Source organism: Homo sapiens, chromosome 1 (assembly GCF_000001405.40).
Source record: "Homo sapiens chromosome 1, GRCh38.p14 Primary Assembly".
Taxonomy (NCBI): domain Eukaryota; kingdom Metazoa; phylum Chordata; class Mammalia; order Primates; family Hominidae; genus Homo; species Homo sapiens.
The window spans coordinates 235,454,857-235,468,505 of NC_000001.11; the positions used below are offsets into that span (position 1 = coordinate 235,454,857).

General features: G+C 40.2%; 1 protein-coding gene across 8 annotated transcripts in view; it reads right to left on the reverse strand.

The window, feature by feature from the left end:
• B3GALNT2 (beta-1,3-N-acetylgalactosaminyltransferase 2) overlaps window positions 1–13,649 on the reverse strand; it is a 64,657-nt gene that overhangs the window by 15,061 nt on the left and 35,947 nt on the right. For 3 of the 8 annotated variants that reach the window (XM_006711749.4, NM_152490.5, XM_017000394.2), the window contains 3 exons: window positions 10,780–10,858; window positions 3,747–3,930; window positions 703–828 (listed from right to left, as the gene is read on the reverse strand). In XM_006711749.4, the coding sequence (XP_006711812.1) occupies window positions 703–828; window positions 3,747–3,930; window positions 10,780–10,858 (389 nt within the window). Of the gene's footprint in view, window positions 1–615; window positions 829–3,746; window positions 3,931–8,601; window positions 10,859–13,649 lie in introns of those variants that run through there. The other 5 variants (XM_047447005.1, XM_047447002.1, XM_047447004.1 and 2 more) reach the window with 4 other exon arrangements.

The following is a 13,649-nucleotide window of genomic DNA, read 5'->3' on the forward strand; positions in this document are numbered from 1 at the left end:
GCACTAGAAGATCACCCTGTGTTTTAGTATATATGAAAACAAAAAACCAAATCACTAATCCATATTGTATTCCTGAGGAAGCACAGAAAATGGTTTCAGAGACGTGTCACAAACGTACTCTAACAAAATATACAGTAGCTTCTAATGTGAATACCATTTATTTCTTTGGCATAAGAATAAAAGCCATATTGTTTTCCCTCCTTTACTACATTAGCCTGAGGCTTTTCATTTAAAAAATAATTTCCTCCAATTGTACAGTAATATAAAATTTATTATTATTATTAAGACAGGGTCTCCCTCTGTTGCCCAGGCTGGAGTGCAGTTGCAAAATCATAGCTCACTGCAGCCTCCAACTCCTGGGCTCAAGCAGTCTCCCTGCCTCAGCCTCTCAAGTAGCTAAGGGCTACAGGCTCACATCACCTTTTTAATTTTTTGTAGGGACAGGGTCTTGCAACGTTGCCCAGGCTAGTTTTGAACTCTTGGCCTCAAAGGATCCTCCCACCTCAGCCTTCCCAAAACTCTGGGATGACAGATGTGAGCCAGCATGACTGACCTAGAGTAATGAAATATATATAAACCCAGGAGTCTAGTACGAAATTGTATATCTCAACCACATTTTCAAAAAAAAAAGATATTTTATGCTTTATTAATTACATTTGATCAGGTACACGAATGCCAATGGGCTAAGAATGGTTAACTTACTTTCCCCACCAAAAATTAGGCCCATCCAGATTCTTTTGGACAATCCTATTAAATACAGCTTCGAGGTCTATGTAACAGTCATCATCTGTCTTCAGCAACAAATTGAAGCTCGTTGTTTCCACAGTCCTGTTGACACAAAAGGGATAAGAAAGTCAGTGCGACCAAACAAACAAACACCAATGCAGTGGCGTCACTAACACTTTCATTCAAAACTGTACCTGTCATTATCTAAATTTCTTATTCCTCAAATGTTGAGAACATTTGCTCTAACAAAATTTTGCTGCTATCAACTAAGGCCATCACTTGGTCTTTACTAAATGGCATAACACAGAGAAGTACTAACCTGATTTTAAAAGGCAAAGAAAGAGCATATTGAAGGAAAATATCTGGCTTAAATGGAACATATGTTCAAACAAATGCTTCTTAGGCATCATTCAACTCCTGCTGCCAAATCTATTAAACGCCTGAACCTTGCCCCGTGTGTTCTTAATAACAAAGGCCCAGCATAATGAATTAGGTGTTACATCTGGGCCTCTCACACAGAACGCTATTGTACAAGATGCATCCGATGCTATTTATATTACACTCAAAATATTTTATGGCTTAAAAAAACCTGACTTATTACATTGAAACATATTTTCCCTTGGAAACAACTTCTAGCAATTAAACCATTATAAATGACCTTCTGGAAGGCAAAGGATAGTGACTTCATTATCTAGACGTAAAATATATAATCATGACTAAAGACAAAATTGACTCCTTCATTTCACATTGACAGTCCCTGTACATCTGTTTAAAAATGCAGTTTTGCTAGGGTGCCAGTCATATGTCAGAAATCTCAATAAAATAAATTTAGAATTTCATTAGGTCCAAGAATGGTGAATTTAACAATAATGGGTCCACACCAAATAGCATCACCCCATGTTTCTAAAGTTTATTTCCAATTAACAGCAGAAGGCATACATAATATTTGCTAATTAGAAATTTCATGATAAAGAATATTTAGGTCACTGATAACTGAAATAATGAGGAAGAAATAATGAAACTCATTTGTAGTGTGGAGATGGGTGATGCCAGCTATGGGGACGCAGGTCCCAGATCAGAGTCCTGTTGAAGGTTACTGCAGCGATCCAGGGAGAGAAGGTGGCAGCCAACAATAGCGGCAGCGGAGACTAAGGGAGAGGCTAAGATACTTCCACGCCTAGGAAATATCTTGCTCTAAAGAGTATCCGGGGCTGACTCTTAGCCCTGACTTCCCACCCTCGGGACTTCCATGCCCATTCCTCATCTCAGCCTCACCTACAATTGCAACTCTCATTTGCGGCCCCAAATTAAAAGGAGGTTCTTTTTCTTACTACAGCTGCCTAAACTTAACCTAGTATTCGACACACCCAGATTTCCAACCCTCATTTACCTCTGCTCTCTACTCACAGGATGAGTCCCAAATTATATTAATTTGCCCCAGCAGGCCAGGTGTGGTGGCTCACGCCTATAATCCCAGCACTTTGGGAGGCCAAGGCAGGAAGACTGCTTGAGACCTCATTTCTATTAAAAAATAAATAAATAAATAAATAAATAAATAATTTGCCCCAGCTAAGAAACATTACCTTCCATAAACCAATTAGACCATCTACCCCTCAGGACCAGGGAACTGTATCCGTAAAGTACTGTTCTTGGTAACTTCCCACTCTGCCTAGGGCAACAGAGAAGAAAAGAAAGAGACAGACCCTGGGCCTCACACCAAGGAACAGAAGAAGGTTTTTAAAAATAAAAGTGAAAAAAATAAAAAGTGAATACCCTTTATAGGTTTGGCCTAATCAGAGATAGGTTTGAAAGTTTTGGCTCCATGGTCAGGACAGACAGTACCAGGAAACTCAACATAAAATTTTGAGATCCTAGAGTAACTAATAATTCTAATAACTATACGTTAAGATTATATAGATATATAATATGTATGTTACTATTATTATATATTGTTGCTGTTATTCTTGTTATAAAAGTAGGAATTAAAAGTAAGTTCCAAGAAACACTGGAGGGTCTGGGAAATTATAAATATGATAGATTCTGGGAGTTGTGGAATTTTAGTAAGCCAGCCACATAAGAGTTTTAGAATCAGGGAGGTAGTTTTTAAACGGATGGAGTAGAGACTGGAAGTATAAGGTGGATATTCAGTAGAAGAGAATGCCTATCAGTAACCTAAATGTGAGTGACTATAACTGGGGAATCTGGGTAGGTGGGTATAAATACAACTAAAAATGGACCATTCCCAAACTCACTGATTTTTATCTAATGCTGGCTTGAGACAACCGAGGCAAGCAGAAATGACTCAAAATGAATCAACTTTTTTTTTTTTTTTCTTTTTTTTTGAGACGGAGTCTCACTCTGCTGCCCAGGCTGGAGTGCAGTGGTGTGATCTTGGCTCACTGCAACCTCCGCCTTCTGGGTTCAAGTGATTTTCATGCCTCAGCCCCCCTGAGTGGCTGGCATTATAGGCGCTCGCCACCACACTTGGCTAATTTTTGTATTTTTAGTAGAAACAGGGTTTCACCATGTTGGCCAGGCTGGTCTCAGACTCCAGATCTCAAGTGATCTGCCTGCCTTGGCTTCCCAAAGTGCTGCCGGCAGGCATAAGCCACCAGCCAATTTTTGCCGTGTTTTTGATAGGTTAATATCACATTGTGGATCTTTATCAAAATAAAGTGGCAGCATCTTAGAAGCTCAGTTTTCGCAAGGAACTGGGATACAATAGGTCATATCCCAGGTGCTCAGTGTCCTTAGGTTTGTTTTTATTTGCTGAAATCTCAGTGGTTTGAAGTTGATAAATTGTCTCGATAGCAAAAGAACAATAAGGCACAGTGTCATGTGCCTGTAATCTTACCTACTCAGGAGGCTAAGGCAGGAGGTTTGCCTGCACTCAGGAGTTCAAGACCAGCCTAGGAAACCCCTAGTAAGGGGTTTCCTTACAGCCTAGTAAGACCCCATCTCAAAAAAAAAAAAACTAACAATAAAACAAGTTCTAGCTACCCAACATTTTTACAACCTACCATCTATAGAAGTTCAATAATTTTGCAGGAACATTACGATAAGTGTCGACAACATCCACAAAAACAATATCATCATAGATGCTGCTTTCCTCCTTCAGTAAGGCATCTTCCTCATGGAGATTCCTTATATGATCAATAAGTCTTTGAGGGCGAGAATGAAGGTTGTGTAAGAGAGCATCACCTTCTATAAAGGAAAAGTTGAGAGTTGGAGAAAAATGCTGTTGTAAAGTTACCATTCAGAACTGATGATGTACACTAAAGTTCTTTTCCCAAGGTAACCCAGCAGAAACACATGCAGTTGTTTGGAACTTTAGGTAGAAAAATGGGAACTCTCATACACTGCCAGTAGGATTAAGTGGATGCTCCCACTCTGGAAAGCAATTTGGCAATATCTATTTAGGCTGAAAATGTGTACACCTTATGGTTCAGTTGAGGCCACTTGTAGATATATCCCTACTAACATTATTTCACATGAGGATATTAATTACAGCATTGTTTGTAATTGTGGAAGAAAAATGGGACCAACCTAAATGTCCACTGAGAGAAAAAAAAAAAACAGCCAAGTTGTGGTATATTCACATAATGAAATATAGCAGTTAAAAAAATTACCCTGATCTTGCATGTTAAAAGGATTGGGATGAAAAAATAAAGTTGAGTGAAAATTGCCAAGTGATAAATACAATATGACACCACAGATATCAATTATAAAACACTCAAAACTATGTTATTTAAAGACATGGTCAGGCGTGGTGGCTTATGCCTGTAATCCCAGCACTCCGTGAAGCCGAGGGAGGAGAATCGCTTAAGCCCAGGAGTTTGAGATCACTCTAGGTTATATAGGGAGACCCCATCTCTAAATAAAATTTAAAAATTAGCCAGGCATAGTGGTGCATGCCTCTGGTCCCAGCTTCTTGGGAGGCCAAGGCAGGAGGATCCCTGGAGCCCAGGAGTTCAAGGCTGCAGTGAGCTATGATTACACCACTGAACTCCATCCAGCCTAGGCAACACAGCGAGACCCTGTCTCAAATAAATAAATAAATAAAGAGACGTAAATATGTTCAAAGTAGAAAAATAAGAATGGGAAGGGTACACATGAATTTTAGGGAAGTGGCACCCCCTTTGAGGAGAGGGAAGAGGAATACATCTAGGGAGAACCACAAGGAAAAGGTTTCAACTGTACCTACAATGTTTTCTTTTTTTTCTTTTTTTGAGACAGAGTCTCACTCTGTTGCCCAGGCTGGAGTGCAATGGCATGATCTTGGCTCACTGCAACCTCCACCTCCCAGATTCAAGTGATTCTCCTGCCTCAGCCTCCCGAGTAGCTGGGATTACAGGTGTTAGCTACCACGCCCGGCTAATTTTTGTATTTTTAGTAGAGACGGAGTTTCACCATGTTGGCCAGCTGGTCTCGAACTCCTGACCTCAAATGATCCACCTGCCTCAGCCTCCCAAAGTGCTGGGATTACAGGCGTGAGCCACTGCACCAGGCATATAATGTTTTCTTTCTTTCCTCTTTCTTTTTTGTTTTTGAGACACAGTCTCACTCTGTTGCACAGACTGGAGTACAATGGCACGATCTCAGCTCACTGTAATCTCCACCTCCCGGGTTCAAGCATTCTCCTGTCTCAGCCTCCCTCATGAGTAGCTGGGATTACAGGCGCCTGCCACTGTGCCCAGCTAATTGTTTGTATTTTTACAAACAATTGTAAAAATTGTTTGTAACAAGAGGCAGGGTTTTGCCATGTTGGCCAGGCTGGTCTCGAACTCCTAACCTCAGGTGATCCACCTGCCTCAGCCTCCCAAAGTGCTAAGATTACAGGCATGAGCGACTGTGCCTGGCCATGTTTTATTTAAAAAAAAAAAAAAAAAATTAGAAATGAATAAGAAAAAATGTAAATAAAAAATTGTTAATTCTGAGCACTGGGTACCTGGCTGTTTCTGTACTATTTCTGGTGTATTTATGATTATTTCCTTTGTTTTTTTTTTTTTGAGACAGGGTCTTGTTCTATCACCCGGGCTAGAATGCAGTGGTGTAATTATAGCTTACTGCAGCCTCAACTTCCTGGGCTCAAGTGATCCTCCCACCTCAGCTTCCCAAGTAGCTGGTACTCCCGGCACCTGTCACCATACCCAGGAAATTTTCAAGTTTTTTGTAGAGATGGGGTCTCGCTATGTTGTCCAGGCTGGTCTCTAAATCCTGGGCTCAAGAGATCCTCTTGCCTCCCAAGTTTCTGGGAGCCTCCCAAAGTTCTGGGACTACAGGCGAGAGCCACTATGCCTGGCCATGATATTTCATAATAAAAATGATTACTAATGTGCTTAAAAGACAATTTATTTGCCACTTCACAAGTTAATGAGTCACTTGTCACGTGTGCAGGGACTGTCCCCAGATCCTACTGATTTAAGGCAATTCTTTCGCTGTGGCAGGAGACGTCAGGATTTCCTAAAAATGTCTCAATCAAATTAAAGAAAAATTTTGAAAAATACAAAGAAAATGAGCTGCTGAGGGTGGCAAAGGAAATGAAATACAATTTAGCACTGCACTCTTTGTCACTGCAAATGGAAAGGATGAGGTGGGAAGCTGAAGGCCTATATCTGACTTCTGCCTCTCATGACTTGTGAGATACTGGACAAGTTCTGTTGTCTCTAGACCACAGCAGTCTCACCTGTAGAAAATGGTGCTGGATTCAATCAGTGATTCTTGGGAATGCTTGCTGAAATGCAGATTCCTGGGCCCCAAGCCTAAAGATTCAGTAGGTCTGGGGTGGAGCCCAGGAATCTATTTTTTTTCCTTCTGCACCTGCTCCCAGGAATCTATATTTTTAATGGCCACTGCTGCGACCCTGATGCAGGTAGGCAGAACACAGACCAGCCTTTGAGAAACACAGGGGTAGATGACCTCCTGTTTTTTTTTTTTTTTTTTTTTTTTTTTGAGATGGAGTCTCACTCTGTCACCCAGGCTGGAGTGCAGTAGCGCTATCTCGGCTCACTGCAACCTCTGCCTCCCAGGTTCAAGCGATTCTCCTACCTGAGCCTCTCGAGTAGCTAGGATTACAGGCGTGCGCCACCATGCCTAGCTAATTTTTGTATTTTTAGTATAGATGGGGTTTCACCATGTTGGTCTGGCTGGTCTCGAACTCCTGACCTCGTGATCCACCTGCCTTGGCCTCCCAAAGTGCTGGGATTACAGGCATTGAGCTACTGCACCTGGCCTGACCTCCTGTTTAGACTTACAATTTTTGGACTTTACGATAATGTAAAAACAATATGTGTTCACCAGAAACCATGCTTTGAGTACATATGCAACCATTCTGTTTCTCATGTGACTACAGTCTTGTGAGATGTTCAACCTTTATTATGGAATAGGCTTTGTGTTAGATTATTTTGCCCAACTGTGGGCTAATGTAAGTGTCCTGAGCAAGTTTAAGGTAGGTGAGGCTAAGCTATAACATTCGGCAGGCTAAGTGTATGAAATGCATTTTCAACATACATTTTTAACTTAACATGGGTTCAACAGGATGTAACATTGTAAGTCAAGGAGCATCTGTATAATTTAACACTTGATGGAAAGTGAAAGTGTTATAAAATTGTAACAGGAAAATGGCTTGTAACAACAGGAGTGCAGAAATTAAATACAAGCCTTTTAGACTAGTAACACATTTTGTTTCACTGCATGTATCTGAAAAATATGAGCATAAATTAATATGTCAGGAAAATGAAAGGATGTCTGCTTTTGCCACTTCTATTCAACATACATGTTCTAGCCAGGACAATCAGATAAGAAAAAAGGCATCCAGATTGAAAAGGAAGAAGCAAAACTCTCTCTTCTTACAGATGAAATGACCTTGCATGTAGAAAATCATAAGGTCTAACTTTAAAATGATTAAGTAATAAATACATGGATCTGTTCAGCAATGTTGCAGCACACAGATCAATCACAAAAACAATCTGTATGTCTATATACTCGCAATGAACAATCTTAAAATTAAATTAGAAAAACAATTCCACTTACAACAGCATCAAAAAGATAACATAAGTATTTAATAATTTAACAAAAGAAGTGCAAGACTTTTATACTGAAAAATCAAACATCATTGAAGGAAATTTAATAAGACATGGATGTTCAAAGACTTAATACTGTTAACACGGCAATACTCCCCAGGTTGATCCACAGATAGAATGCAATCCCTGATGGGAATGTGAACTAGTACAACCACTATGGAAAACAGTGTGGAGATTCCTTGAAGAACTAAAGGTAGATCTACCATTTGATCCAGCGATCCCATTAGGAAAGTAAGTCATTATATGAAAAAGATACTTGCACATGCATGTTTATAGCAGCATAATTTGCAACTGCAAAAATATGGAACCAGCCCAAATGCCCATCAATCAATGAGTAAAGAAAATGTGGTATATATATATATACCATGGAGTACTACTCAGCCATAAAAAGAAACAAAATAATGGCATTCACAGCACCTGCGTGCAGTTGGAGGCCATTATTCTAAGTAAAGTAACTCAGGAATGGAAATCCAAACATCGTATGTTCTCACTCATAAGTGGGAGCTAAGCTATGAGGATGCAAAGGCATAAGAATGATACAATGGACTTTGGGGACTTGGTGGGGACAGGGTGGGAGGGGGTAGGAATAAGACTACACACTGGTTACAGTGTACACTGCTTGGGTGATGGGTGCACCAAAATCTCAGAAATCACCGCTAAAGAACTTATTCATGTAATCAAACACCACCTGCTCCCCCAAAACCGATTGAAATTATATATTTATTCATATATATGCATATATATATATGCAATCCCTTAAAACATTCCAGCTAGGTTTTCTTTTTTTTTTTTGCACAAATTAACAAGCTGATCATAAAATTCATATGGAAGTGCAAGAGACCCAGAATAGCCAATCAAGCTTGAAAAAGAACAAGGTTGGAGGATTCACATTTCCTAATTTCTTTTTTTTTTTTTTTTTTTTTTGAGACGGAGTCTTGCTGTCACCCAGGATGAAATGCAGTGGCAATCTCAGCTCAATGCAACCTCTGCCTCCCAGGTTCAAGCGATTCTTCTGCCTCAGCCTCTGGAGTAGCTGGGATTACAGGCGCCCGACACCATGCCTGGCTAATTTTTTTGTATTTTTAGTAGAGACAGGGTTTCACCATGTTGGTCAGGCTGGTCTCGAACTCCTGACCTCGTGATCCACCTGCCTCGGGCTCCCAAAGTGCTGGGATTACAGGAGTGAGCCACCGTGCCCAGCCTCCCAATTTCAAATCTTACTAAAAAGCTACATAATCAAGACAGTGTAGTACTGGTTAAAGACGCAGACACATAGATCAATGGAATAGAATTGAGAGTCCTCAAGTAAATCCTTACATCTACAGTCACTGATTTTCAACAAATGGGTGCTGGGACAACTGGATATCCACATGCAAAAGAATGAAGTTAAACCTCTATTTCATGCCATATATGAAAATGAACATGGATCCAAGACCTACGTATAAGTGCTAAAACTATAAAACTCTTGGAACTGTAAAACAAAGGCACAAATCTTTGTGACCTCACATTAGACAATAGTTCCTTACATATGACAGCAAAAACATGTGACAAAATTGGACTTCATCAAAATTTACAACTTTTGTGTGTTAAAGGGCACCATTTGCAAAGCATGTATCTGATAAGGGACTTGTATCCAGCATATATAAAGAACTCTTACAATTCAACAATAAAATAATTTTATAAATGGGCAAAGGATCTGAATAGATATTTCTCTAAAGATATACAAATGACTCTCTCTCCCCTCCTTTCCTCCCTTCTTCCCTCCACCCCTCCCTCCCTCACCACCTTCTCCCTCTCTCCACCCCTTCCTCCCTCACTTCCTCCCCCTCCTCCCTCCCTCACTTCCCACATCTAGTTCATATACCATAATAATTCACCCTGTTAACAGTGTGCAGCCTCAGCAATATGACAAAACCCTGTCTCTACAAAACATTTAATAATTAGCTGGGCATGGTGGCATGCACTTGTAGTCCCAGCTATTCGGGAGGCTGAAATGGGAAGTTCACTTGAGCCCGGGGAGGTCAAGGCTACAGTGAGCTGTGATCATGCCACTGCACTCCAGCCTGGGCAACAGAGTGAGGCCTCGTCTCAGAAAAAAAGAAAAACAACGAAACAAAAAAGGAAGATATACAAATGGCCAATAAGCACATGAAGAAAATGCTCAACATCATTAGTTATTATGGAAATACGAATAAAAATCACAATGAAATAACAATTTACACCCACTAGGATTGGTATATTTTAAAAGACAGACAATTTATTAAGTGTTGACAAGAATATGGAGAAACTAGAATCCTCATATACTGACTATGGAAATGTAAAGTGGGCTGCTGCTTTAGAAAACAACCTGGCAGTGCCTCAAGTGATTAAACACACAATTATATGACCCAGGTCTTCTACTCCTAGACATTTAAGAGAAATGGAAATATATGACCACACAAAAACTTGTACCTACATGTTTACTACAGAATTATTCATATTCAAAAAGTAGAAGCAATCTAAATGTCCATCCATTAATGAATGAATAAAATAGGGCATATCGATGCAATAGAATATTATATGATCATAAAAAAGAAGTACTGATACATACAAAATGGACAGACCTGGAACACATGTTACAGCAAAGAAACTGACACACAGAGTACGTACTGTGCATTTCCATTTATGTGAAATGTTCAAAACAGGCAAATCCATAGAGAAAGAAAGTGCATCAGTAGTTGTTAGGGGGTGGGGGGTTGGGGAGGTAAGAATGAGGAGTAACTGCTAATGGGTGTGGGGTTTCCTTTTGGGAGGTGGAGCCGGTTGTAGAACTCTAAGAATACACTAAAACCACTGAACCACTTTAAAAGGGTGAATTTTATCTGAATAAAGTTTTTTAAAAGACAAAAAAGAAAAAATCCTTTTCTCTCAAGTATAAAGATTAAGTATAAGACATTCAGTGTACTTTTCAAGTTTCAACTAGCAAACTTACCCTGAATAGTATATATAAAACCACCTGCAACTCCCTCCACACCTTCCAAGAATTCATGAGGCAATGCACCCTCCCCAGCCTGAAAGGAATAAGAATGTACTCAGTGATTCATTACTAAAAATACACTGATCATATTTTAAAATCGATTTGACAAAAATCATAATATGACTCCACTTGCAGCAGATAAATGCATGTAAGATGCTGGTGCACTGGAGGCTTATAATATCAGGATGACATACGGTATTCTACTATTTTTGTTATCTAATTACAATACTAAAGATAAGATATACCCAACATTCCATAAGGTGTTCAGAATTGCAACTTACATAGAATCATGTTTATGTACTTGCTACTCTAGTAGTACAAAAAGCAATTGATTTTACATCCCAACCCCACCACTTAAAAAAATATGTATTACGACCTTTGATTTTTTGGAAACTAAAAATTCTCATGAGTTCAAATACATCTTGGCATGCTTTAAAGTTAAGAGACCATGCAGAGAAAGGCTCAAAATTAACAGTCTGTTCCAAATATTCAAATTGAACTCTACTGTATATTGATTAAAAAAAAATTTTTTTTTAATTTTTAATTTTTCTTTTTTTTTTTTTTTCAAATAAGAGACAGTGTTTCACCATATTGGTCAGGCTGGTCTCGAACTCCTGACCTCAGGTGATCCGCCTGCCTCAGCCTCCCACAGTGCTGGGATTACAGGCGTGAGCCACCACACCCGGCCTAATTTCATTTTACAGACAGGGTTTCACTCTGATGCTCAGGCTGAGTGCAGTGGTGCAATGATATCTCATTCTAGCCTTGAACATACAATCTTCCCATCTCAGCCTTACAAGCAGCTAGCACTACAGGTGTGCACCACCATGCCCAGCTAATATTTATAAATTTTTTGTAGAGAAGAGGTCTCACTGTGCTGCCCAGGCTGGTCTTGAACTCCTGGGCTCAAGTGATCCTCCCGCCTCGGTCTCCCAAAGTGCTGGGATTACAGGTGTGGGCCACTGTGCCCAGCCTGTTGATGTTGTTGAAGGTGCTTAAGCCTATTGTGCCAGCAGCCAATGACAGTCCTTTCTACTTCTTAGAATGGAGAATCTTTTATTATTAAAGAGTTATCTCTCTTCAAAAGTTACCCAATGGCCTTACTCAGAGTGAACTGTTTTACTTCTGTATACAGTAAACCACTATGGTACATCTACCAGAGTATTGTCTGGCTGTTGTGGGCTAGATCAGACAGTTAAGAGTCCATACTCAGTGTATTTACAGTATTTTTTCTACACCTTCATTTAATCAAGAGAGCTACTGCTTGGCTATTCTTAAACAGATCTTTTCAGAGTTGTACTGTACAAAGCAATGTTTTAAGGCCAGTAGAACAAGTAATCTGAGGTCACTGTAGTAACTTGTCATTTAATTTAAAATATGTTTGTAGGCCAGGCGCAGTGGCTCACACCTGTAATCCCAGCACTTTGGGAGGCGGAGGCGGGCGGATCACGAGGACAAGACATCAAGACCATCCTAGCTAATACGGTGAAACCCTGTCTCTACTAAAAATACAGAAAAATTAGCTAGGCATGGTGGTGTGTGCCTATAATCCCAGCTACTCTGGAGGCTGAGGCAGGAGTATCACTTGAACCTGGGAGAAGGAGATTGCAGTGAGCCAAGACTGTGCCACTGTACTCCAGCCTGGGTGACAGAGTGAGACTCCATCTCAAAAAAATAAATAAAATAAAATAAAATAAAAGTTCGTAGCCAAATGTGAAAATTACTAAAGGGGCAGGCTATAGATTCCAACGTTGTAGTTCCATAAAAGACTGTATATGCTTTATTTGTTATTTACTTATTTACTTTTTTTTTTTTTTTTTTGAGACGAAGTCTTGCTCTTGTCCCCCAGGCTGGAGTGCGATGGCGTGATTTCGGCTCACTGCAACATCTGCCTCGGGGGTTCAAGCGATTCTCTTGCCTCAGCCTCTCAAGTAGCTGACAGTCGCCTGCCAGCACACCTGGCTAATTTTTGTATTTTTAGTAGAGACGGGGTTTCACCATGTTGGCCAGGCTGGTCTCGAACTCCTGACCTCAGGTGATCCGCCTGTCTCGGCCTCCTAAAGTGCTGGGATTACAGGTGTGAGCCACCGCGCCCGGCCTACTTATTTAGTTTTTTGAGATGGAGTTTCACTCTTGTCGCCCAGGCTGGAGTGCAATGGCGTGATCTTGGCTCACTGCAACCTCTGCCTCCCGGGTTCAAGTGATTCTCCTTTCTCAGCCTCTTGAGTAGCTGGGATTACGGGCATTAGCCATCACGCCTGGCTAATTTTTATATTTTTAGTAGAGACGGGGTTTCACCATGTTGGTCAGGCTGGTCTCGAACTCCTGACTTCAGGTGATCTGCCCAACTCAGCCTCCCAAAATGCTGGGATTACAGGCGTGAGCCACAGCACCCAGCCTATGCTTTATTTTTTATTGTATATTTCTATATTGTTTTGGCTTTAGAACTCAATAGTAATTTCTGTTTATTAACTTCTCTCTAAAAGGTCACAACTTGGCTTTTTGCCTTTAAAATTTTTCTGACATCACTTGCTGGCAAGGGAATAAAGCTTAGTGAAAACTCTCAGCTGTACGCATTTGTGATGAAAATCTTAATTTGTACCTGGGGTTTCTTAGCGTAGGCTTTAAAAAGTTACCTGGTTTTGTTTTTGTTTTTTTAGGTTAACTGTATGTTTAAGCTATCTTTAGCCCTCTATAATAATTTTTACTCCCAAAGGCAGATCATTTGAGTCTTTACATTTGAACCTAGTTCTCAACTCAGAAACCTACCTTTTTTTTTTTTTTTTTTTTTGCGACGGAGTCTCGCACTGTAGCCAGGCTGGAGT